Source organism: Homo sapiens, chromosome 21 (genome assembly GCF_000001405.40).
Source record: "Homo sapiens chromosome 21, GRCh38.p14 Primary Assembly".
In the NCBI taxonomy this organism is placed as follows: domain Eukaryota; kingdom Metazoa; phylum Chordata; class Mammalia; order Primates; family Hominidae; genus Homo; species Homo sapiens.
In genome coordinates, this window is record NC_000021.9 from 36888873 (window position 1) to 36915437 (window position 26565).

Here is a 26565-nt window from a genome sequence, read left to right on the forward strand (position 1 = left end):
CAAGGCCCAACACACAGTAACTGCAAAAACAAAAACAAAACACCACACATCGCTCCTATATCACTGTGCCCACCTCCTTTCTGCCCAAAGCCCCAATGATCAGACCAAGAACGGTGTACACAACTTTACAAACTGGCACAGGCACTAGGATCTCCTTCTGCAAACGCACCGTCAGGCATGGACGCTGCCTGAGCCGCCAGGACACCTCTCCAGTGCCTAACACAGTGCCTGGCATACAGGAGTTGCTCCAGAACTGCTTATCCCATGAGGCAAAGAAGTCAAATCTAAGCCTGAAACATCAAGGGACTCAAACGGTGACAAATGAGAAATCAGCTTATTTAATAAGAAAATCTAAAATATTCTTTACAAATACAAAACGTCCAACCTTGGACAACTTATTCAGGATGCACAAGTATACGAAGGAAATTGGCGTAAGCAAGTTTATGCCCATCTGCTCACCACACACTGCGGTTTCACGTCATTTCACTCTCTGATGGAGACTTGGTATAAGTCAATCAAAAAAGACGCTATTGGCCAAATAAAAGATGATTCCAAAAATAGCACAATGACTCAGTTACCCCAAGCTCCTATGTTTCACAGTCTAGCCTCATGCTGTCTCCAGAGGGTTGACTATCATTTATCAGGAGATTAAATGGAATGTGCCACACACCCACTACGTCAAGGCAGACTGAACTCTGGGAGGGGCTTTTCCTGCAGTGACAATGGATTTGCAGTGGCTGGTCCACACCCACTTCCCTAGACCCCATCACCACCAATAGCTCACATTTTGCAAAGGGATTCCTGAGCTGTAGCTGTGGGATGTGAGCCTGGAACACGGAGAAGTTCACTGTCCCAGACACAGACACAGACACAGACTGGACCCATGTCCCTGGGACTCTACTTAACTGGCTGAGCTAACTGCTCACAGGGAAACCTACTAGGAAATAGCACAGAAAAATAAAGGTCTCTGGCGTGAAACAAAACTGGCAATACACACAGCATGGTGATATGGTTATGCCCTGTGCCCCCACACAAATCTCATCTTGAATTATAATCCCTGTAATCCCCATAATCCCCAGGTGCCAAGGGAGAGACTGGGTGGAGGTAATCGGATCATGGGGGTTGTTTCTCCCATGCTGTCCTTGTGATGGTGAGTTCTCATGAGATCTGATGGTTTTGTAAGTGTTTGGTAGTTCCTCCTGTGTTCATTCTCCTGCCTGCCGCCTTGTGAAGAAGGTGCCTTGCTTCCCTTCACCTTCCGCCACGATTGTAAGTCTCCTGAGGCCTCCCCAGCCGTGCTGAACTGTGAGTCAGTTAAACCTCTTTCCTTTGTAAATTACCCAGTCTTGGGCAGTACTTTATAGCAATGTGGAAACAGACTAATACACATGGCATCCAGAAGGTGTTACCCTGACAATAGTGTGGAAAAGCAATTCATGGTCGGGAAGACATGTCAGAGAAAATGACTGGAGCCCAGGATAAAGGATGAAATCACGTTTTCTAAGCAAATGAGTTGGGTGGCACAGCCAAGTCAGATTCCTGGGGAAAGCGCATCACTAACGGGGTTTTGAGTTTTTACTCTGGGGGTGGAGGGGACTCAGTCATCAGCAAGCGGCACCCACATTGCCCTGTGCTACTTCCTCTCCCCAGAGTGCTCTCCCCTCTATTCAATCACAAACACACTTCCAAATTTGTGGGGTGGAGACACAAGGTGAAGGCGGTGGGGGGTTCATGCTCTAAGACAAGCCACTCACATGCCCAGAGAGATCAAAAGAAAGCTCTCTACACCAGTACCATGGTAGCTCAGCTGGTACTGAAATACCAGCCCTCAAAAAATACCACACCCTCAAAAATCTGTCAGAAATCTCCAAATCCTCCTAGATGTGTAAACACCTAAAAAAAATTCCTCTAATTACCTTGAGTAAGCACTGAAACAAAAGCAGTGTTATAAGTCAAATAATTATCTTCACCTGTGATCCTAAATCTGGTAGACCCTGGCACTATCAGAAGGTATACTACTTTCAGGGCCTCCAAGTATTTTTCTTGGTAGTCTGAAAAACTGAAAGTACATGCCTGAGGCAGAATTCTAATTGTCTTCCAATGTCTACCAATGTCTACCCTCCTTTCCTCCTTAGTGATAGAAGCCTGGTTTCCAGTTAGATCCATGGTTGCCTACTATAAAGACCACATTTATTTCCCAGCCTTGTTTGTAGGTCACGTGACTAGGTCCTGTTCATAATACATAAACAAAAAGGCCATGTGCAACTTCTGTCCCTTGAAGAATGGGGATGTAGCTTCTTTACCCCTTCCTCCCACTTACTGGCTCAAGTAAGAACATAAACACTGGGATCACCATCCTGGACATGTGCTGAAGGTGGCCGAGCAACTCAGCTGGGTCCTTGACACGTGAGCCAACGCACCAATGCTGGACTTCCCATCTCAGCCTATCTCATTTGCAGGAGAGAAAAGTAAACTTCCATCCTGTTCAAGCCACTTCTATTTTCAGATATCTGTTGCACACAGTGAAACCTAATCTTAATTGACCTAGGAACCGGTACCTGAACCGGGGGTGCTAGGTCTCAGATTTTATGTATGCCCCAGAAACAAGGCCTAAAAATGCAGCCTGATATGGAGGAGATGGGCAGAGGATCACTGGCAAAGACACAGGTCTCACAGGTTCTCGACTGCTGACTGCCGCAGCAAAACCTTTGATCGAGTCCTGACCTTCTATATGTTGGGAGGTAGACCTGGTGTCTGTTAGAAGCTGTATCCTTACAGGAAACAGCTCTGAAAATTCAAAATGTCAGTGCTTGCCAGTCCTTGACACTCTCAGCAAGGTTCAATCAAGAGAAATGATCTCCAACTAAAGCTAACTAGTCTCAAGAAAGTGGGAAAGAATACAGATTTGATTAGAAAGGAGCTCTGTGTCAGCAACCAGCAATCTAAGTGAGCCTATGGGGCTGTCCCTGCAGCCCCAGCAGGAGATAAGACAGATGCTTTACCACATAGAGCCCAGAAGCCTTGTGCCAAAGATATGATTAAGGGCCTGGCCTTCCACCCAAGCCCACGGTTTCATTTGGCCCAAGGGAGTTGCTATTAAATTGGGAGGGAAAGGAATGGCAGAGCGCTGAGGCCTTTAAAAGACCAGAGTTTTTAGGCTGAAAAACTGTCTAGACAAGATCTTGATGGTTACTCACATGGAACCAATCAGAAGCAAACAGACTAGAGGGCTACTAAAGTCCTGAGAGACTTGTATCTCTACAGAAACCTTAAGGCTGGCCTATAAAAAGCTGTGACTATTCAGTCCTCAAAACAACACCCAGACCCCAAATCCTCCCAGCAAGCGGGTTTTGGAAGCCCATCCTCTCCAGCATCCATCTCCGATGTGGTGCAGAGAAGACCCTTTCAGAAGGCAAAGCCATGACTCCAAAAGATCCCAGGCAAGAGAGTTCCCGGAGGGCAGAACGCGGGTTGCCAGACAGCGACAAGGAAACATAGTGGCCGCCAGTGCAGGGGGTGCAGGGAGACTTGATGGTCGTGATTTCTACTACAGCAGTGTGGCACATGGTGTGCTGGGGGCAGAGAGCTCGTCTGTTTCAGCTAACAGATTGCAAGACCTCAACAGGTACATCCGGCCCTAAAAGAGAAAACGGCACATCATCCAGAGATCCTGAATCTGATCAAGTGGAAGGAAATGAATGTCATACCAGGGCCATCTTCCTTGAGGAAGAGGTGAGAGTTTTCTATGGAGGGGAAGACAAATGCATGTGGATATCTGGGACCTCAGCAGAAACTGCTGGCTGTTCCCCACTGTGTCCTTCCCCGTCTTCCTTAGGAATACAACTCCCAATTTTCAGCTGGTGCAGGTTCCATGATGGGGAATGGTAGACGGAGAAAAAGAGATTTTGTAAATCATATGATCAAGATCTATATCTAACATAAATTTCACTCCTACTTCAGCCCATTAGGAAAGAGCTGCTCAATTGCTGAAGAAATGATACACACAGACGAAGAGAGAAATAAGCATTGAGAGAACCCAGTCCATAGTTCTGAAAATTCTTCTTGTTCTATCCAATAGTTTCATCAAAGTGATAGTCTCATCATGTTGCCCAGGCTGGTCTCAAACTCCAGGGCTTAAGCAATTCTCCTGCCTCAGCCTCCCAAAGTGCTGCAATTACAGGCATGAGCCACAAAAAAAGTATCCCACTTTTTTTTGAGATGGGAGTCTTGTTCGGTCACCCAGGCTAGAGTGCAATGGCGCGATCTTGGCTCACTGCAACCTCTGCCTCCAAAGTTCAAGCAATTCTCCTGCCTCAGCCTCTTGAGTAGCTGGGATTACAGGAGTGCACCACAACTGCCTGGCTAATTTTTGTATTTTTAGTAGAGACAGGGTTTCACTATATTGGTCAGGCTGGTCTCGAACTCCTGACCTCAAGTGATCCACCCACCTCGGCCTCCCAAAATGCTGGGATTACAGGTGTGAGCCACCGCGCCTGGCCATATCCAACATTTTTTATAAATATTCAGAAACAGGAACAATTCCACACACAGTAAATTCTGTTACCTAGAATTCTACACACTGGTATAATACTAGTGTTTGACACTGTTCCAGTAACAACTCCAAAGCACTAAAACAACAGTCCCCAACCTTTTTGGCACCAGGGTCCGGTTTTGTGGAAGACAGTTTGTCCATGGACAGGGGGTTTCGGGATGAAACTGCTCCACCTCAGATCACGAGGCATTAGTCAGATTCTCATAAGGAGCACGCAATCTAGATCCCTCACATGCACAGTTCACAATAGGGTTTGAGCTCCTATGAGAATCTAATGCTGCCGCTGATCTGACAGGGGGCGGGGCTCAGCCAGTAATGCTCACTTGCACCACTCACCTACTGCTGCGCCGCCCCGTTCCTAACAGGCTGCAGACCACAGCCCGGGGGTCGGGGATCCCTGCACTAAAAAATAATGTATGAGATTCGTGGATTTGTTTAAAGCACACAAAAGCAGCAACTGGAAGAGAACAGCTGCCAGTACACATAACCTATTATTACTATCACAAATAGACTATGTTTCCATAAGTATAGCTCGTTAACATGGTTTGGATTTGTGTTCCTGCCCAAATCTCATGTCAAATTGTAATCAGTGTTGGAGGAGGGCCTGGTGGGAGGTGATTTGATCGTAGAGGTGGATATTCCCCTTGCTGTTCTCATGATAGTGAGTTCTCATGAGATCTGGTTGTTTAAAAGTGTGTGACACCACCCCCTTTGCTCTCTTCCTCCTGCTCCCATCATGTAGGACGTGCCTGCTTCCCCTTCACCTTCTGCAACGATTGTAAGTTTCCTGCGGCCTCCCCAGCCATGCTTCCTGTACAGCCTGCAGAACTGTGAGCCAATTAAACCTCTTTTCTTTGTAAACTACCCAGTCTCAGTTCTTTATAGCAATGCGAGAACGAACTGATACACTCATGTAGGATCAAATATAGTTTTAGAAATATTTTAGTCTTATTCTTAGAATGTAACAGGCCATGTATTTTGTGCATCCATCTATCTCGTGGTCCCTCTGACATCAAGATGACCTCTTCAAATGTCTTCTCCTTAAAAAGGCAACTGCCTCCCCGCGCCAGGAATTTCTTCCCAGGTTCACTGACTCAGTAGGTTTCTGTGAGTAACCTCACTTCGTAGTGTTAGGAAGGAACCCTGGGAACAGCGGATGCAGGGCATCTGGTAAGCTAAGGCCGCCAACAACCATTCATCCAGTATCAGCTCTGCACCAAGCAAGGGATTCATAATTAATAATCAAACCAAACAAGAAGAGAAACAAAGATTCCTAAACACCCTCAGAAAGGCCAAAATATTTTTCCCCTTTGTAAAAGTAAAAACTCTTAACCCTATGGGAGGTTCCACCTCTAGTGTTGGCAAGCTCAGCTTCAATGTCTGTCAAACACTTTTACAGACCCAAGTTTCCTAAGGCAGAGGTTTTTTTTTTTTTAAGTTTAATATCAAAAGTGAACTTCCTGATATCCAAGAATATTAAGGCAATATATTTATACAGGTTCTTTTTTCACCCAAAAACACAGGCTGGACAGCGTGTGGTGAAGCCCAGCCCTCTGCGGATGTGCGGGAGCCTCAGCCTGTCCGCACTCTCAGGGCGTGTGCTGCCCTCTTGGTGACGCGCTGCCCTCTTGGTGACGCGCTGCCCTCTTGGTGACACGCTGCCTGGCCACGAGCTCCAGGACCACACTTCCAAGGTTCCCAGGTGGCAATGACACGAAATATTCTTCAGTATTCTCCACAGAAACAACAAAAATGGCCTGGAAGTACCCGTATTTTTCTATCTGAACTTCACCTCCCCAAATCTTTTGTTCAATAACTTGTCTCATTTTTTTATTCAGAAAATGTAACTATCGCGAGTTACCCCTTCGATATAATGAAGTCTTCGCTTGAGTAACAAAGGATTATTACAGAGTTTGCAACAAGCAAGTGATGACTGTTCCATCTAAAAGAACAGGCTTTTTCCTTTTCTACTGGGAATCAATGGATGTCAGGGGTGAGGTGGAAACAGGAGAGTTAAGAAGCGCTGAAAAATGAAAGTACCTATGACATCACAAATTAACTCAGTACACAACAATTACTAATGAACACGGCTCACAGCTCCCCTCCCAGCCTGCCCCCATTGCTCTGATAATCCTCCCAAACAACTCTGCCAATGCCTCCTCTAATACAACACACATACTAACACTGTCATTCTGATGACTCTAAGTGTGACAGTCAAGAAAATGCTAAAGTTGGCTCATCATTTTATATCCATATAGCATTAAATTCCAGAAACTATTATCAAGAAAAAGGCCAAAATATTCCCATACATTGAATTATACATCTGTCTAATCATGTGGTCCCATGAGTGAAATGCCTAGAAACTATGAATCCAGTTATTTTTGGAATATTTCACGCCTTAAATTTTAACACCGCACTGAGGGAAGGCACTTTTGTTATTCCCTCCCTCTATAACCAAATTTTTTAAACTAAAATAGTATTAGTACTATTGGGGAGTTTTAAAAAATTCCTTTCATTTGTTTTCTATTTTTTTAATCTTTAATCAGAGTCTATGTAACAGAAGGAATCAAAAGGAAAACCTGCAGTAAGAGTAAATTTCTAATATCCAAATGGGGTTATCAACTGCTTAAAAAAGGTATGGGGGTTGGGAATGGGTGGCTCACGCCTAAAATCCCAGCACTCTGGGAGGCTGACTCAGAAGGATCACTTGAACCCAGGAGTTCGAGGCCAGCCTGGGCAACATGGTGAAACCCTGTCTCTACTAAAAATACAAAACTTAGCTGGGCATAGTGGCGTGTGCCTATAGTCCCAGCTACTTGGGAGGCTGAGGCAGGAGCAACCCTTGAGCTCAGAAGGTCGAGGCTGCAGTGAGCTGTGATTGTACCACTGGACTCCAGCCTGGGTGACAGAGCAAGATCCTATCTCAATCAATCAATCAATGAATAAATGTATTGGATAGCAATGTACCAAAAACACTTTTCAAAATACAAAGCTCTGACCTTTTTCAATTTACACAGCTTAGGTGTCATTCAAACTTCCTATTCAAATGCCCCTGAAAAACATCCTGTATTAAATGTCTAACACTGATTGTAACTGCACAAAAGAAGAATGATAACCTGAGCAATAATGCCACCGGTTAAACATCTTTTTTCATAATATTCGTTTATCAAAGAACATTCTGAGGGCCTGATTCAAAGAAGCAAGACACAAAGCACAACCACCTTCCATTCCCATAAAAAACAAACCTGTGATCAAAGAACTTCAATTTCCTTTCCCACGATTTAACTCTTCTAGGACAAGAGTACTTCCACCTTGCTAATAGGTCTGGTCAAACGTATTCCTCTACAACTCTATCCCCTCCCCGTCTATTGGTAAGAGAGGATGATCAATGGAACAGGACTCCTCTGAGCAGATGCAGACCTGCTCACACCTTACCCATCCAGGAGACGCATCGTTGTGGGGGTCACTTCGGCAAACAAAATTACTTTCCCCAACTGCTTGGTCTGCAGATTTTGGCGATAGATCTCTAAGTTGAAATGTTCTGATGAGAAGGCCTCCATGTTGGTCACCACAGGTATACAAGATGGGGTTATTTCTACTTCAGACACGTAGGATGAAACAAATCTAAGAGAGAGCTGGCCGGATTTTATTTCTCCCTCGGAGTCCACATGTTTCCCAAGCCACTGCATAAGAGGATCCCTGATTTCCTGTGTCATAAAGAAAGAAATGAGATGGTCGTAATTTGGCATTACATTAGATCATGGTAGCTTTTCCTTATAATGCCATTTTGGTAATATGAGTACTTCCTAATTCATGACCAAGAAAAGCTAGATTAACATATTCCATACATCTAAACGATTAGACAATATGATAATCATATACTTAGTATACTTATACTATAAAATAAGCTCTTCAGAAACCAGGATCCAAGAAAATCAGTTCAGTTCATGATTATACTTCCTATCTTACATCTTACATTCTCTCATGATTTTCAAGATTCCCCTCCAGTCCAGAGTTCATAAGTAGTTCTCCAGTCCTCCGTTCATTTTACGGAAAACTTTTATCTTTTTGCCCCACAAAGAAATTCATTATCCTATTTGCAAAAACAACAACAGAAAACCCTGGGTGAAAGAAGTCACAGAACACAAAGCACTCAAATACAAGAACACTCGGTCTCAGCCTCACATCTTAGAGAATCTCCGCTTCCTCTTGTAAAGACAAGGCAAGTTGATCACCAACAAAGAAGACAATAATCTTCACAAAGGGAAAGTGGGGTACCCCAAAGCTGCTTTCTGTTTGCCCCAAATGGAGGTACAAGGAGGAGAAGGAAGGCAAAACCTAGAAGAGACGTTGTCCAATCCAGGCACAGAGCTCTCTACTCTATCCCCAAAACCACAAGGCTGGAGGAGGTTCCCCCACGCCAGACCTTAGAGGTCCCAGAGGCCTTCCTCCAGGGTGGTTTATCAGGAACTGAGGGCTGAGGGAAGTCATCATCTCAAGAGGCCTGTACAAAACTTACTAAGATCTCAGTAAACACAGATCCAGGCTCTTAGGCCATCCTCCTGCAAACACCAGGCCCTTTACGTCCCAAAGCTCCCTGTGGCTACAGAGTAGTGGCATCAGAGATGAAACTTAATTCAACTAATTTCAATTGATCAACCTTTAAAACTCACATCTAGTTTGCAGATAATACAGAGGAGAAGAGAACGAGTCAAATGACTTCAGAAGAAAGCATTCAGGTCCGCGCGCAGTGGTTCACACCTGTAATCCCAGCACTTTGGGAGGCCCAGGCGGGCAGATCACCTCAGGTCAGTAGTTCAAGACCAGCCTGACCAACATGGTGAAACTCCGTCTCTACTAAAAATACAAAAACTTGCCAGGCATGGTGGCGGGTGCCTGTAATCCCAGCTACTCAGGAGGCTGAGACAGGAGAATCGCTTGAACCTGGGAGGCAGAGGCTGCAGTGAGCCAAGATCACTCCACTGCACTCCAGCCTGGCAACAAAGAGTGAAACTCCATCTCAAAAAAAAAAAAAAAAAAAAGACAAGAAAAGAAAGCATTCAGAAGAAATCCAGGGGATAAAACATTTTACAGAACAGCCGGGCTGGAATCTTCAACTAGTCAATGTCACGGTGGAGATGGGGTGGGGACACAGAGGTGGAGAGGGAGACCCCGTCTAGATTAGAAGGGGCTTAAAAGACATAATGAAACACAATGGGTGGTTCTTTATTGGATCCCAACTTGAACAAACTAGCTGGAAAGGACAATTAGGAAATCTGAATGTGAACAGTATGCATTAGACAGCAAACTGGAATTACTGTCAGTTTTAATAGGTGTGACAAGGGTACTGTGGGGGCCAGGCGCAGTGGCTCACACCTGTAATCCCAGCACTTTGGGAGGCTGAGGCAGGCGAATTGCTTGAGCTCAAGAGTCTGAGACCAGCCTGGGCAACATGGTGAAACCCTGTCTCTCCTAAAAATACAAAAATTAGCCGGGCATGGTGGCGTGCAACTGTAGTCCCAGATACTCAGGTGGCAGCGGTGGAAAGATTGCTTGAGCCCAAGAAGCAGAGGCTGCAGTGAGCCAAGATGGCGCCACTGCACTCCAGCCTGAGTGACAGAACCAAACCCTGTCTCAAGAAAAAAAGGAAGTACTGTGGTGACATAGGAAAAGTCCTTAATTTTTAAAAATGTATATACGTCATGAAATCTGTAAAATTTACCCCCAAAATACATAAAGTAAGGCAAAATGTTGATAATTATTCAACTATGTTGATAATTATTAAATCTAGATGATGGGTATTTGGGGTATGTGTTACAGTATTCTCTCTATTCTTTTCCATGTTTGAGAACTGTCATAATTAAGAGTAAAAAAAAGTGGTGAAATAAACATAAGCTATTTAAAAATAATAAATTCAGGCCGGGCACAGTGGTTCACGCCTGTAATCCCAACACTTTGGGAGGCTGAAGAGGGTGGATCACTTGAGGCCAGGAGTTCAAGACTAACCTGGGCAACATGGTGAGACCCCGTCTCTAATAAAAATACAAAAATTAACTGGGCATGGTGGCATGCACCTATAATCCCAGCTACTCAGGAGGCTGAGGCAGGAAAATCTCTTGAACCCAGGTGGCGGAGGTTGCAGTGAGCCGAGATCACGCCATCACACTCCAGCCTGGAGACAGAGCAAAACTGCATCTCAAATAATAATAATAATGAATTCAATTGACCATACACTGGCAACCTATTCCCTCTGTCATCCATTCAACAAATGTTACGGGATATCTCCCATATGGCAGGCAGTCTCACAGGCTCTGAGGACGGAGCAATGATCAAAGGGGTCAAAATTCCTGTCTTTGGAGGGTTAATGCTATAATGTGGGAGTCAGAAAGTTAAAAAAGTCCGGGCGCAGTGGCTCAGGCCTGTAATCCCAGCACTTTGAGAGGCTAAGGAAGGCGGATCACTCGAGGTCAGGAGTTTGAGACCAGCCTGGCCAACATGACAAAACTCCATCTCTACTAAAAATACAAAAAATTAGCCATGCATCGTGGTGGGTGCCTGTAATCCCGGCTACTTGGGAGGCTGAGGCACAAGAATCACTTGAACCCAGGAGGCAGAGGTTGCAGTGAGCCAAGATTGCGCCACTGCACTCCAGACTGGGTGATAGAGTGAGACTCAGTCTCGAAAAAAAACAAAAAACAAAAAACAACAAAAAAAACAAAGTTAAAAAACAGTAAACACAATACACAGAATGTTAGAGAGTAACACGTACAAAGGAGGGACAAGAAAGCACAGAAGAGAGGGAGGCCACTTCAGACCAGACAGATGGAGGACCTGCTAAGAAGGCAACGCTTAAGGAAAGGCCTGGAGCAAGTGAAGGAGGATGCTGGGACAAAATCCACAGAACTATGTTTTTATATTTATTTATAAAGGGATTCCAGCAAGTGCAGAGGCTCCCGGAGCAGGGAAAGAGCCTGATCAGGGCACAGCATTTGAGCAGAGTGAGCCTGGGCAGAAGGTGGAGTGCCGGGGCCAGAAAGGCAGAGGGGGTGGTGAGAGCCACCGTCCACATCGCGGAGGGCCTCAAAGGCCACAGTAAGGACGGGGCTTTCACTCGAGGAGCAACAGGGAGCCCCAGAAGGTTCTGGGGAAGGTCGTGGGATGTCCTACCTCTGTTGGAGCAGGATCACCCCACTCTGACTCCTGTGTTGAGAAGAGCCTGAAGGGGAACAAACAAGCAGAGAAACTAGTTATAAAGTCACCTAAATGAGCTAGGAGTGAGACTACTGCCTGGACCAGCATGCAGCAGACATGGTGAGAAAGGATAGGATTCACAGTAGACTCTGAAGTACAGGCTACAAGATTTGCTAACAAGTCATATCTGAGATGTTAGAGAAAACAGGGGCTCAAAAAAGAGCCCAAGATTTCTGGCCTAAACATCTGGAAGGACAGATCTGCTGCTGGAAATACTATAGGAAGAGCAGGTTTGGAGAGGAAGAGGCAGGAGGTGAGCCCTGGGTGTGCTAAGCTTGAGATATCTATTAAAAATCCCACGGGGGCTGGGCGCGGTGGCTCACACCTGTAATCCCAGCACTTTGGGAGGCCCAGGCAGTCAAATCACTTGAGGTCAGGAGTTCAAGACCAGCCTGGCCAACATGGTGAAACCCCACCTCTACTAAAAATACAAAAATTAGCTGGGCATGGTGGTGGGCATCTGTAGTCCCAGCTACCTGGGAGGCTGAACTCAGGAGGTGGAGGTTGCAGTGAGCTGAGATCATGCCACTGCATTCCAGCCTGAGCAACAGAGAAAGACTCGGTCTCAAAATTTTTTTTAAAAAAGGAAAAAAAAAATCCCTTGAAAACAATGAATTGGCAGTAGAACATGTGAGTCCAGAATCCAGGGGAGAGGTCTGCACCATGGATATCAATTTGAGAATTGTCAGACTATGGGTGATCATTTAAAGCCAAGAAAGAGGATAAGATCCATGAAAAGAGTGACTGTAGTTAAAAAGAGGATGCAAAGTAGGGCTGCTGTCACAAAGGACTACAAACCGGGTGGCTTGAGATGCCAGAAATCTATTCTTACAGTTTTGGAGGACAGAAGTCAAAAATGAACACGTCAACGGGGCCGTGCCTCCTGGGAAGGCTCTGGGGAAACTAGTGTTCACGCCTTTGCTTCTGGTGCCGCTGGCACTCCATGGTGCCCCTCGGCTTGTACACACATCACCCCCATCTCTGTGGCCATCATCACATGGCGTTCTCCTCTTTAAGTGTCCCGATTCTGTGTGTCCTCTAGTCTTCTGAGGACAGCAGTCGTACTGGATTAGGGATCCACCCTAATGACCTCATCTTCACTTGATTACATCTGCAAAGACCCAGCTTCCAAATAAGGTCATATTCACAGGCTCCAGGGCTGGGGCTTTCACATATCTTTTTGGGGGACACAACTCAACCAACAATAGCAGTCCATGCTTAGGTTTCAGGGAGATCAAAAAGAGTGTGCAAAAGAGATTGAGAAAGGGAGAGAAAAATCAAGTGTGTCTGTGGACAGCAGTGGGGGGCGGTGGTTGCGGGAGTCTCCTGACTCCAGTTTGGAAGGTTGGAAGACGATGACAGTGCCGTGGGGAGAGGGCTGAGAAGTCACCGCTGGCCTTGGTGCCACAGAGCCCAGACTCTGATGAGAGCAGTTTGAGAGGCGTGATGGAGGCCAAAGTCAGATGGGAGTAGTGAAAAGAGAAAAACTGCAGACTCCAGGATAAAACTCTGGCAAAGGGTCTCCTTTAAAGGGTAGAGAGGAATGGGGCAGTGGCTAGAGGGAGGAATGGGGTGAAAGCAGGTTTTGTTTGGTTTAGAGGGGAGAAACAGCAGCATTTTCAGATTGATGTGAAAGGTCCCCTAGAGAAAAGAATCCAAAGGGCCAAGTGGGGTGGGACCTAGCACAGAAGCAGAAAGGTCAGCCTTGGGAGCAGAGACAGCTCACCCATAGGGATGGGGGTGGCTCAGGTTCCCCTCTGCGGACACCTGGTCTTATGACCCCACTGGCTGCAGAACTCCCTTGGCCCTTGCCGGTTGCACAGCCATACGGGACAGCCTGGTAACTGAAATTCGCTGCTCCCACCCTGCTCCACAGCTGCAGGGAGGTGGGAATCCTGGTGCTGGCAGCCGGTAGAAGTCATCTTATGATTGCTTCTATGTTCTCAATAAATAGGAAGCAAGATCATCGGCTAAGAGAGAAAAGAAGGAAGGAGGTGTTGAAGTTTGGGGAGGGAGGAACGAACATGACAACAGGGAGAATGAGAAGACGAATGCAGTGGGGAGAATCTTCTGAGCAGCGCCTTCCCCAGGGCAGCTGGAAGCATTTGAGCACCACGGAAGGTCAGCGACTCTGAACTGAGAGTGAGAAGTCCGCATGATTTTGTGTTTTTATCCTGCCACAGTCAGCTATCCAGCCATGTGGGCTTAGCAGAGAGGAGGCAGTGAGCTGAAGGTGTACAGAAAGCAGTAACTGAGACTAACCGACCACAAATGAGACACTGCTGGAGACAGGAAGATAAATATGAGTGATCCTGTTGGGGAGGAGAGTGAGAGGAATGCCCCAGGACCAAAAAGCTTAGGTCAGCACCAGAGAGAGCTCCCAGAGAAGGCATGCAAAATAAGGGGTGATCCTGCTTGCAAAGAAACCAGAAAAGTTGTTGGAAGAGGTCAAGCTCAAATGAGCTACCAAAAGCTACATTTGGGTCCTATCACAGTACTAATTTTCGGTTTTCGGACTACAGAATACCAAGATATATTTCAAATGGATTATTCCCTGTTCATCATTCTTTCCTTGGTATATACTCTATTGGAAGAAGAAGAAGAAATGAATAAATAACATACAAAGGTGATCCCCAAACCTCAAATCTGGCCATTAGTTATAACCAACTCTGCCCCTAAAACTTTGGTCAATGCCCTTAAAGCATAAAATGCACAGATCTGAATTTCCATCACTTTCCCCAGGGCAGCTGGATGTCACCAGGTCACCACACAGGCTAGAGATACATATAGGTGAATTAGGTTAAATCACAAAAACAGAAAGATAAAACTATTATTTAACTCAAGCAGAGAGCTAAGAGGTTATTCATCAGATGATGGTAATACAAATATCCCATTCAAAGTCAATGAAAACCAGGATAAAATGAAAAAGAAACAACCAGCACTAAGTAGAACTTTCAGAACAGGAATAATGCAGGAATTATCCTCTAAAGTGAATCATCCAGATTGACTATGGTATACATCATTCATTTAAGAAACATGTATGGAGTACCCACGGTGTCTCAAACACAGTACCATGGTAGAAAGAGAAGAGGAAGGACAGATATTGCTATAGTTTGAATCTGTCCTCCAAATTTCATGTGTTGGAAACATAATCCCCCAATTATATGTTGATGGTACTTGGAGGTGGGGCCTTTGGGAAGAAATTGAGATTGAATGGGGTCATCAGGGTAGGGCACCTATGGTGGGATTGGTGGCTTTATAAGAAGAGAAAGAAAGACCTAAGCTGGCACACTCCTGCCCTCTCACCATGTGATTCCCTTCCCATGTTATAATGCAGCAAGAAGGCCCTCACTAGATGCTGGCACCACACTCTTGGATTTTCCAGTCTCCAGAACCAAGAGCTAAATAAACGTCTATTCTTTCTAAATTGCCCAATCTCAGGTATTCTGTTATAGCAACAGAAAACGGACTAAGAGAGATGCATACACATAACTACAAGACAAAAATTCACTCAAACTATTCAAACATACACTTCTCTTTGGCAAAGTAAGTCAACCTGACTTGCCAAATTTAATCATCTATTCTTATGTGCATGCAAGTTGAGAGCCATATTCTCAAGAAATTACATCATCATTGTTATGTCTACTAATTACTAAAGTAACAATCTAAATTATTTGTTTTTGAAAGCAATACTTAGACACGTACAAATCTGCAAAATAAAACTGATAAAAGCAAGGCATGCAGGTTTTTTTCTTATACTTATTTTACATAATCTTTCAGGGCTTACTCAGAACCAAGTGAATTACTCAGAACAAAGAGAATCTAAAAGGTATCAAATGAAACCAGGGCCCTCTTATGAAACATAACTATATACCACCCATAATTCTCTTAAATATTTATATTCACTATAGTCAAATACATTTTAAGTACCATAGGAAGCATTTAGCCTCCCCCAAAACTTTCTCCCCGCTCCACCATTAACCCTGGACAACATAAAAATTCTGAATAAAATTCTGGTTGTAAGAAATACCAAAATTACTATCTGTTTGATATAAATCTGCCTGGCATGTCTTCTCAAATGCACTCAAATTATGATTATGACTTGAGAGTTGCATATACAGCTGCTAATAATACATGTAGGGAAAAGGAATTAATTCATGACTCTTGCCTAAACTCTCCTAATGACCATGCAATGTAAAAATGTTACTGAAGAAAAAAGGTTTGGATCATAGACATCAAGACAAGTGGGCTGACATATAAGTAGCACTACCCACTCTGCAATACGCAAATGCACCTATTTCTTTGAACTCAACTATCAGAGGATAGCTAAAACGTCACTTCTATAGGGAGGATGTCTCTGACCCACAGCCGTTCACAAACTTTCGTAAACCCTTAGTTACTTTATAGCACTTATCACGACTATACATAATTTGTATAAGTGCTTATTCAATGCCACACTGTCTTATTAGAATATAAGTTCCATAAAGATAATATACATATGTTCCTGTTTTGCTCCCAACGGTATCCATGGAACCTAGGACAAAAGTGCATGCTTAATAAGCATTTACTGTATAAATGCACATTAAAACCTTACCAAGGAAAACTCTCCAAATAACAGATAGATAGGTAATCAAGAGGTAAAACTCAAAAAAGACAATGAGAGAGTATGGTCTTGAGATGGCTACGTAAGCATCAAAAATAATGCACAGTCTTTGAAATCATTACAGCTAGTTCTATTGACAACAAACAACCACTATCAGATTCCACTTCAAGGGGGTTTATAAAATTCTAATTAATGTTATTTTTCTAACATTTAATCTTCAAGAATTTAGTATTTCTCTTCTTCTAGGATTTCAGGTTAATTAAATATGATTTGGGTGGAACCAACAGCTGAATGCTTTATAGTCACATAAATGTGGCCCTTTTAAATCAGCCACAGCACCAGTCATTCTCAAGAAAGGTGAATATATTCTTTGTCTTTTATTGGGTCATGTTGCACAGGACATGAAAATCCAAAGGAATCTTAAAAAAAAAAATAGAACTAATAAGTGAGTTTAGCAAGGTTGTGGGATACAAGGTCAATATACAAAAATTGGCTGGGCACAGTGGCTCACGTCTGTAATCCCAGCCCTTTGGGAGGCCAAAGTGGGTGGATCACTTGAGGTCAGGAGTTCAAGACCAGCCTGGCCAACATGGTGAAACCCCACTTCTACAAAAATACAAAATTAGCCGGGTGTGGTGGCACACACCTATAATCTCAGGTACTTGGGAGGCTGAGACACGAGAATCACTTGAACCTGGGAGGCAGAGGTTGCAGTGACCTAAGATTGTACCATTGCACTCCAGGCTGGGCAACAGAGTGAGACTCCATCTCAAAAAAAAAAAAAAACAAAACAAAAATTGGGTGCATTTCCATATACTAACAATAAATATTTGGAGCCTGAACTTCTTTAAAATATCATTTTAATGGCATCAATAGATCTGAAATATTTAGGGACATATTTAACAAAATATGTGCCAGACCTGTTTACTGAAAACTACAAAACACTCCTGAATTAAAAATTAAAGATGTCTGAGCATCATAACTCATACTCGTAATCCCAGCACTTTGGAAGGCTGAGTATGGAGGATCACTTGAGCCCAGGAATTTGACACCAGCTTGGGCAACATGGAAAGACCTCATGTCTAAAAAAAAGAGTTTTTCTTTAATTAGCTGGGTGTGGTGGCATGCACCTGTAGTCCCAGCTAGTCAGGAGGCTGAGGTGAGAGGATCACTTGAGCCCAGGAGCTAGGCTGCAACAAGCCATGATGGCACCACTGCACTCCAGTCTAAGCGACAGAGCGAGACCCCATCTCAAAAACACAAAAAGAAAATTAAAGAGGCTGTAAATAACTGAAAAGATACACCATGTTCATGGATCAGAAGACTAACACTGTTAAGATGTCAATTCTTCAAATTAATCTATGGGTTCAATGTAATCCCAGTCAAAATCCCAGAAGGCTTTTTTTTTTTTTTTTTGTAGAAATTAACAAGCTGAAAATAGAAACTATTTTAAATGGTCAAAACAATTTTGGGAAGGAACAAAAAGTTGGAAAACCTACATTATCTGCTTTCAAGACTTACTATAAAGTTGCAGTATATCAAGACGGTGTGGTATTGGCACACAGAGATAGGTATAGATTACTGGCACAGAATAGGGTACAGAAATAGGGCCAAACATATAAGTGTGATTGATTTTTTTTAATTTTTTTGAGACAGCGTCTTGCGCTACCACCCAGTGGGGAGTGCAGTGGTGTGATTACAGCTCACTGCAGCCTCAAATTCCTGAGCTCAAGCCAACCTCCCACCTTGGCCTGTTTGATTGATTTTTGACAACAGTGCCCAAGATAACTGACTTGAAAAATGATAATCTTTGCAATACATGGTGCTGAAACAAACATTCATATGCAAGAATATGAAACCTTGATCTCTATCTCACATGTATATAAAAATTAACTTGAAATAAATCATAGACCTAAATGTAAAACTACAAACCTTCTAAAATAAAATACAGGAGAAAACCTTTCTGACTTTGGGTAGGTAAAGTTTTTTTCAGATGGAACAAAATAAGCATGAACCATAAAAGGAAAAAAGTGATAAGCTGGACTTTATAAAAATTAAGAATATTAACAACTGCTGTTCTTGAAGAGATAATGCTGGCCAGACATGGTAGCCCACACCTGTAATCCCAGAACTTTGGGAGGCTGAGGTGGGTGGATCACCTGAGGTCAGCAGTTTGAGACCAGCCTGGCCAACATGGTGAAACCCCATCTCTACTAAAAATACAAAAATTAGCCAGGCATGGTGGCATGAACCTGTAATCCCAGCTACTTAGGAGGCTGAGGCAGCAGAATTGCTTCAACCCAGGAGGCGGAGGTTGCAGTAAGTTGAGATCATGCGCACTCCAGCCTGGGCGACAGAGCGAGACTCCATCTCAAAAAAAAAGAGAGAGAAAGGGAAAGAGAGATAATGCTAAGAACAGTGAAAAGACAAACAACAAACTGGGAGAAATTATTCTCAATACTTATATCAGACAAAGGACTTGTATCCGGAATATAAAAAAGAAGTCTTAAAATTGTAAGAAAACAAACAATTCAACTTAAAGCCTGAGCAAAAGAGCTGAATAGACACTGCCCAAAAGAAAATATCGGATCGCCAATAAGCACATGAAGAAATGCTTGGCACCATTTGGCAACAGGAAAATGCAAATTAAAACCACAATTAGATACCACTATACATCCACCTGAATGGTTAAAATTAAAAAACTATTTTAAGCCCAGGAATTTGGGCCTGCAATGAGCTGTGAGCACACCACTGCATTCTAGCCTGAACAACAGAGCAAGACCCTGTCTCCAAAAAAAAAGAAAAAGAAAAAAAAAAACATTCTGGCCGGCCACAGTGGCTCATATCTGTAATCCCAGCATTCTGGGAGGCTGAGGCAAGAGGATTGCTTGAGCCCAGGAATCTGAGACCAGCCTAAGCAACACAGTGACACCCAGTCTCTACAAAAAATAAAAAAACAAAACTAGTCAAGAGTGGTCGTACACACCTATATCCCAGCTATTCAGGAGGTTGAGGTGGCAGGATCACTTGAGCCCAGGAATTCAAGGCTGCAGTGAGCCATGACTGTGCCACTGCACTGACAGCCTGGGCAACAGAGCAAGATCCTGTCTCTTAAAAAAAAAAAAAAAGAATCTGACACTTTACAATGGTTGGCAAAGATGTGGAGTAACTAGAACTCTCATGCCCTACTGGTGGGAATGTAAAATGGTACAATGGTTTTGAAAAACAGTTGGCAGTTTCTTGTAAAGTTAAACACACACTTCTCATATGACCGAGAAATTCTACTCCTAGGTATTTACCCAAAAGAAATGAAAACACATGTCCACACAAAGACCTGTATGTGGATGTTCATAGCAGCTTTACTCAAAACAGCCATAAATGACAGCATATCCATACAATGGAATACTACTCAGGAATAAAAAGTAATGGGCTACCCACACATGCAATAAGGACAAGTCTCAAAAACATAACACTGATCAAAAAAAAGAAGGGTATCCAGTACACTATATGATTCCACTTAGATGACGTTTCAGAAAAGGCCAATCTAATCATCTAGTGATAGACAGTATATCAGTGATCTCCTGAGGCTCCAGGCTTAGGGGTGGATGAGCGCATGAGAACTGATTAAGAAAAGTAACAAAGGCAGTGGCTCACGCCTGTAATCCTAGCACTTTGGGAGGCTGAGGCGGGCGGATCACAAGGTCAGGAGATCGAGACCATCCTGGCTAACACGGTGAAACTCCACCTCTACCAAAAAAAGACAAAAAATTAGCCGGGCGTGGTGGCAGGTGCCTGTAGTCCCAGCTACTGAGGGAGACTGAGGCAGCAGAATGGCATGAACCTCGGAAGCGGAGTTTGCAGTGAGCCTAGATCGCGCCACTGCACTCCAGCCTGGGCAACAGAGCGAGACTCCATCTCAAAAAAAAGAAAGGTAACAAAGGAATCTTTCGGAATACTGGAAATGTTCTGTGTCTTGATTGTAAAGGTAGTTACATGTAAAACATTTATCAAACTGTACACTAAAATGGGTGCATTTTCTTGAATATAAATCATAACTAAATAAAGTTGATTTTTTAAAAAAGCAAACAGCAACAAACCTATGCAACATTAAACAATACTAAGGCCCAGGAGACTCCATATTCACTAACGTCCAAATAACACCAATATCTCCACTTCTAAAGAGAGTGAATGCTTGAATCTGTATCTAGTGCAAATTCACAGAAGTGACTACTCTATGGTGGGTAAACATATTGCAGCATCTGCTACAGACAGAGTGCAATTAAGATCAGAAACCCATGTTATACTGTGTCTCGCCACTTTATTTATTGATTGGAGGCAGCGTCTTGCTTTGTTGCCCAGGCTGGAGTGCAATGACGTGATCATAGATCACTGTAACCTTGAACTCCTGGGCTCAAGCAATCCTCCCACCTCAGACTCCCAAAGTGCTGGGTTTACAGGTGTGGGCCACATCACTTTAGAGCGGTTCCACCCCTGTTACTTGTCTTATCTGCTAAATTTACCCAGCTAACAAGATTCAGTGTTGAATTCAAAATATTTCTTATGATCTCCATGTATGTTTTGGAGCTTCTTTTCCCAAGAAACACCAAATAATTGATCTTAACCCATAAAGGTTTTCTATCTCAGAGACACATTTGCCTCATTGCAAATAATAAGATTAGTTGTGCTTCAGTCATAACATCGTAAGTTGCTAGGCAGCCAGAAGTGAGTTAATCAGAAAATGAATCATCAAAGACATGGTACGCAATCTCCTTTTATGGGTGTCTCATTCTTAAAACACTTTCAAGGAAGCAGAAGCAAATATTTGTCTACTCGTATGGAATTTATATGACGCAATCCAATTCTTACTATTGGTATTTGACACGCAAAATACTCACACGCAATTTCATGTTCGCTTGGTGTCTTCACTCACAGGACAAAGCCAGATGGCACAGCAAATCTTTATAATCAAAAGATGGCACTCCTGGGCCGGGCGCAGTGGCTAATGCCTGTAATCCCGGCACTTTGGGAGGCTGAGGTGGGTGGATCACCTGAGGTCAGGAGTTTGAGACCAGCCTGGCCAACATGGTGAAACCCCATCTCTACTAAAAAATACAAAAATTAGCCAGGCGTGGTGATGGACACCTGTAGTCCCAGCTACGTGGGAGGCTGAGGCAAGAGAATCGCTTGAACTCCGGAGGTGGAGGGTGCAGTGAGCAGAGATCGCGCCACTGCACTCCAGCATGGGGGACAGGGCAAGACTCTGTATGGAAAAAAAAAAAAATGGCGCTCCTGAAATAGGACTATTTTTTTTTCCTGACTTCATCTAAGGCAGGGATTGATCATCTGACAACCCTTGGGGTGGGCGTTTATTCAGCGTGCCAGTACCAAGCAAAGCAAGGCTCCATGCAGGTTTGCGAAATGCCTGTCTGGGTGTCTGCGTGTGTGCACCTCCTCACCAGCCTGGTCCCTTATGCGGCAGCTTCTGTCTAGCCACACTGGTCCCCTGTGGTCTAACCAACCCCTGCCTGACCTGTCCAGGTTCCACGCTGCACGGCACTGCACCCTGGCATGAGTTCCCAAAACTGCTGCTTCCTGCTTCCCACCCTGTGTTCTGCCACTAGCCCCAAGCACCGGCACACAAAAGCGAACGGCTCTGAAGGGCTTCCACCTTCCAGTGGCTTACTTTGCTGAAACCAGTCCATTTTCACAAACATCCAGGCTGACCGTCACTTAGGGACACCCTCGGGCCAAAATGAATCTGGAGATGTGGTTTATTTAGCCCACATTTTGAACCAGCTGCAACACTTAAAAATTGAGATATTTCATATCAAATTTCCTGCCTCTTTTGAAGCAGCAGCAACTCTTTCCACACAGCAGTAATGGGCTACAGCCAAGTAGCCACCCTCATCCCGTGGAGAACGCGCTCCAGCTGGCCCTGTGTGTCCCCAGCAGCCAGCTGCACTCTGCGCTGCCTCTCCTGCCCCCTCCCCTGGCCTCTGGGTTAGAGACCACTCGTCTCAGCCCCAGCAGCAAGCCTGGAACCCATCCAGCCATCCTTCTCTGGGGCCCTGATGATGCGTCCTTCCAGTTAGGTCCATTTTAACTCCCCAGACTGAGTCTAGTGACACTGACTCTCAGAACAGAAGGGGACTATTTTGGTAGTTCCTCAAAAAGTTAAACAAGAGGCCAGGCACAGTGGCTCATGCCCGTAATCTCAGCACTTTGGGAGGCTGAGGCGGGCGGATCACAAGGTAAGGAGATCGAGACCATCCTGGCTAACACGGTGAAACCCCGTATCTACTAAAAATACAAAAAAAAAAATTAACCGGGTGTTGTGGCAGGTGCCTGTAGTCCCAGCTACTTGGGAGGCTGAGGCAGGAGAATGGTGTGGACTCGGGAGGCGGAGCTTGCAGTGAGCCGAGATCGCGCCACTGCACTCCAGCCTGGGCGATAGAGCGAGACTCCGTCTCAAAAAAAAAAAAAAAAAAAAAAAACATTAAACAGAGAGGGCCGGGCGCGGTGGCTCTCACCTGTACTCCCAACACTTTGGGAGGGGCCGAGGTGGGTGGATCACCTGAGGTCAGAAGTTTGAGACCAGCCTGACCAACATGGTGAAACCCTGTCTCTACCAAAAATACAAAAATTAGCCAGGCGTGGTGGTGAGCACCTGTAATCTCAGCTACTTGGGAGGCGGAGACAGAAGAATCGCTTGAACCCAGGAGGCGGAGGCTATAGTGAGCCAAGATCATGCCATTGCACTCCAGCCTGGGCAACAAGAGCAAAACTCCGTCTCAAAAAAAAAAAAAAAAAATTAAACAGAGAATTAATACATGATCCAGCAATTCCACTCCCAGGTATAAACCCAAAAGAACTGACAGCAGGGACCCAGATATGTGTGTGCCAATGATCATGGCAGCATTATTCACAACAGCCAAGGCTGGAAATAACCCAGGTGTCCCTCAATAGACAAATGGATAAACAAAATGTGGCATATACAATTAAGGGGATATTATTCAGCCAAAAAAAAAAAACAAGGTATGAAGTTCTGATACATGTTATAACATGGATGGACCTTGAAAACATTACACTAAGTTAAATAAAAGCCAGACACAAAAGGACAAATATTGTATGATGTCACTTGTATGAAATATCCAGAATAGGAAAATTCATAAAAATGGAAAGTAGAACAGAGGTTACCAGGAGCCACAGGGAGAGGGGAAGGGGAATTATTTATTCACTGTTACAGAGTTTCTATTTAGGACGCTTAAAAAAAAAGTTTTGGAAATATAGAGTGAAAATGGTTGTAAAATAGTGTGGGTGTAATTTACACCACTGAATCGGAGACTTAAAGGTGGTTCTAACAGTAAACTTATTTTATATATATTTTATCACATTAAAGAGAGAAAGGGAGAGAGAGAAGGAGTCAGGATCTCAGTTCCTTTACTCTCACAAAGCTCCCTGTCCTCTATGCAATTAGCCACCCCCCCCAACCCCTGCCATCAATTAGCCCTGCAGACCAGGGGGAGCAAAGGGACAGCTTGCACAGGCAACCGAGGGGTCTCGCTGTGCTCTCCTCTGGGTCCCTCCTTGCTGTCCCTGAGTATCACTAAGAGAGGCCACTCAAAGGACCTCTCAGAACAAAAGTCATTTCCAAGGTGACTTTCCACCCACTTCTCCAGCTAAATGATTTTAAGTTCTGCTTAGGCACCCACTTAGCTACAACAAGAGTATGAAAGCCACCACTTTCTGCACATCCATCCACTGCCAAGCACTGCTGGGTGCTGTGGACCCAAGATCCCCAGTCCTTTCCAGGCGACACCTCTGCATCATTAGCACCGTCCACAGCAGAAGAAATGGGACCCCAGACAGCATTAACGACTGCCCAAACCACACAGGCAGTATACCGCAGAGCTGGAATTTGAACCCATGAAACCAAATCTGTCTGGCTCCCAAATCCTTGCTCTAATTCCTATCCCACGGTCCTCACAAAGAGACCTACCTAACCCAAAATGCAGCAAATTAGGAAATGCCTATTTTCTATAATCAAAATGCTGATGGTATCACAAAGATATAAACTCAATATGCAACTATGAATAAACATAAAATGGATGTGTATGGCTCAGAGCTGGGGGTGGGGTAGGAGGGAGAAGGGCAGTGGGCAGGGGTGGGAGCAGAGTGTTTGATAAGAAAAACTTCAATTTGGCGGGGTGTGGTGGCTCACGCTGTAATCCCAGCAATTTGGGAGGCCCAGGCAGGCAGATCACCTGAGGCCAGGAGTTTGAGACCAGCCTGGCCAACATCGTGAAACTCCGTCTCTACTAAAAATACAAAAATTAGCAGGGCATGGTGGTGGGTGCCTGTAGTCCCAGCTACTTGGGAAGCTGAGGCAGAAGATTCACTTAAACCCAGGAAGTGAAGGTTGCAGTGAGCCGAGATGGTGGGCCACTGCAACACTCCAGCCTGGGCAACAAAGACTCCATCTTAAAAAAAAAGAAACTTGAATGTGAACCTTGAAGCTACCACCCACTAGCTGTGCCTACTTAGACAAGGCTGTGAGAGGACACTTTCACAAAGAAATAAAGGTTTTATCATGTAAGTGAGCTACTGCTGACCTCACCCCTATCTGGTTTCTGCAGGAAAGAGGTGTCATATTCACAAGGGTTCTGTAATGGAAGGACTGTGGGCAGAGGTAAGAGAACCCAAGAACAAGGAAGGGGTGCCAAAGCACTTGGAACCAGCAAGGGACTGAAGGAGCAAGAGGGGGAGCTGCTAATGGGAAATAATATTAATACCTTGACCTCTCTCAAATCCTGCCCATCAATCTCCTGCCAGTGCAGCCAGTGATGAGAAACATCCAGAGTTAGGAGCACGGGAGCCCAGGGATGGGCCGACAGGTGAACGGTCCAGGGGCCAGCACATCTGGCTGGGTGGGCTTGCTGGTTATGCGTCCCCTCTCACATCCAGCCCTGCACAACTCTGACTTAGTCCCAGCAACAACATGAACTTCTACACAGCCTGATCTAGCGATGAGCCCAAATCGATTCAGCAACTCCAAAGGACTTAGGATTGATGTCATTGGCTATCTAACCCCCAGGAATATGAGTTCCTCCAGGGCTGAACTTGCCACAGGGCTTTCTAGATCCCCAATGCCTGGGACACAGTAGGCACTCAATAAATGTCTGTTAAGCGGTCTTCCTTTTATAATGTAAAGTGATAGCTCAGGCTCAGACGCTGAAAGGCCCAGGATTTACTGCATTTTTTTGTTACCTGCCAACTAGCGAAGACCACAAAAGGCTTGAGTAGAACAGTAAAAGCAGGGAGTGAATAAGTCATTTCTAATAAGGCTGGTTTTATAGGCATCACACCTCCACCAAGCCAAACAGGCTCACTGTAGAAGCGGAATCTATTCTGCAAGTGCAGAGACCAAAGAGAAAGCCAGGGTTGGCTCTAACGGCGAGGGCGGCTCTATGGGGCAGCTCAGCCACTGCCTCCACAATGAGAGACGCGAACTTCCACTCACTGGTCTCGTGGGTGCGGGACCGACACCCACAGGAGTCTCTGGGGCCTTCATTAAGCCTGCCCAAGGAAAACGCCCGCCATTTGTCTCAGCCCAACACAAACAGGCTTCTGACAGAGCAGGCAGCGTGGGGGTGGAGGGCATGGAAAACGCTGGGGCTGAGCCCTGGGGGCCCATAGGCAGCCCTGCCTGGTGCACCCAGAGGTGCCCATCCTAGCCGACATGCACACCAACGTGACCATTCACACGTTCCCTTCCTTCTGATGCTGACATGTCCCCCCGCCCCACCATCCTCAGCTATTTGCCTGTTACCTGCCAGCCCCACCTGGGCTTCTTGTGGGGGCAGGGGACTCTGGCATGGGATCCTGCCCTCAGCTCTGCCACCATCAGCTGTGAGGCCGCAAGAGGCACTCCCTGGGCTGACCGCAGCTTCTTCATTTTTCTAACGAGAAAACGAGAACATCTCTCTCTGGTAAAACGGAGCTTCAAGATTCAATGTTTAGCCTCCACTGTTTAATTCTCAGTTGAAATTTTAACATCATGTTATGTTAAAATATATGTTACCTGGAAAGAGAGAAGCGGCCCCATATCAAGAGGCCAAGAGCTTTCTGCTCCAGGACCTTATCTTAGCAAAGGTTCACT

The 26565-nt window shown here is 44.8% G+C and overlaps 1 protein-coding gene across 17 annotated transcripts in view, besides 1 other annotated feature; it reads right to left on the reverse strand.

The window, feature by feature from the left end:
• HLCS (holocarboxylase synthetase) overlaps positions 1-26565 on the reverse strand; it is a 241587-nt gene that overhangs the window by 140248 nt on the left and 74774 nt on the right. For 14 of the 17 annotated variants that reach the window (NR_148021.1, NR_148020.2, XM_024452065.2 and 11 more), the window contains one exon: positions 7988-8259. Coding sequence is in view for 15 of the 17 variants with exons in the window: in XM_024452065.2 (XP_024307833.1) it covers positions 7988-8259 (272 nt within the window). In the remaining 2 variants the exon portion in view is untranslated. Of the gene's footprint in view, positions 1-315; positions 3638-7987; positions 8260-11719; positions 11769-26565 lie in introns of those variants that run through there. The other 3 variants (XM_047440756.1, XM_011529540.3, XM_047440755.1) reach the window with 2 other exon arrangements.
• Positions 20667-21866: an enhancer, noted in NCBI's record as "P300/CBP strongly-dependent group 1 enhancer chr21:38281839-38283038 (GRCh37/hg19 assembly coordinates)". NCBI's record gives its function as "activates an origin of replication core promoter dependent on BRD2, BRD4, P300/CBP, MED14 and CDK7 cofactors, with strong dependence on P300/CBP, by STARR-seq in HCT116 cells {active_cell/tissue: HCT116}" and the evidence as "EXISTENCE:reporter gene assay evidence [ECO:0000049][PMID:35650434]".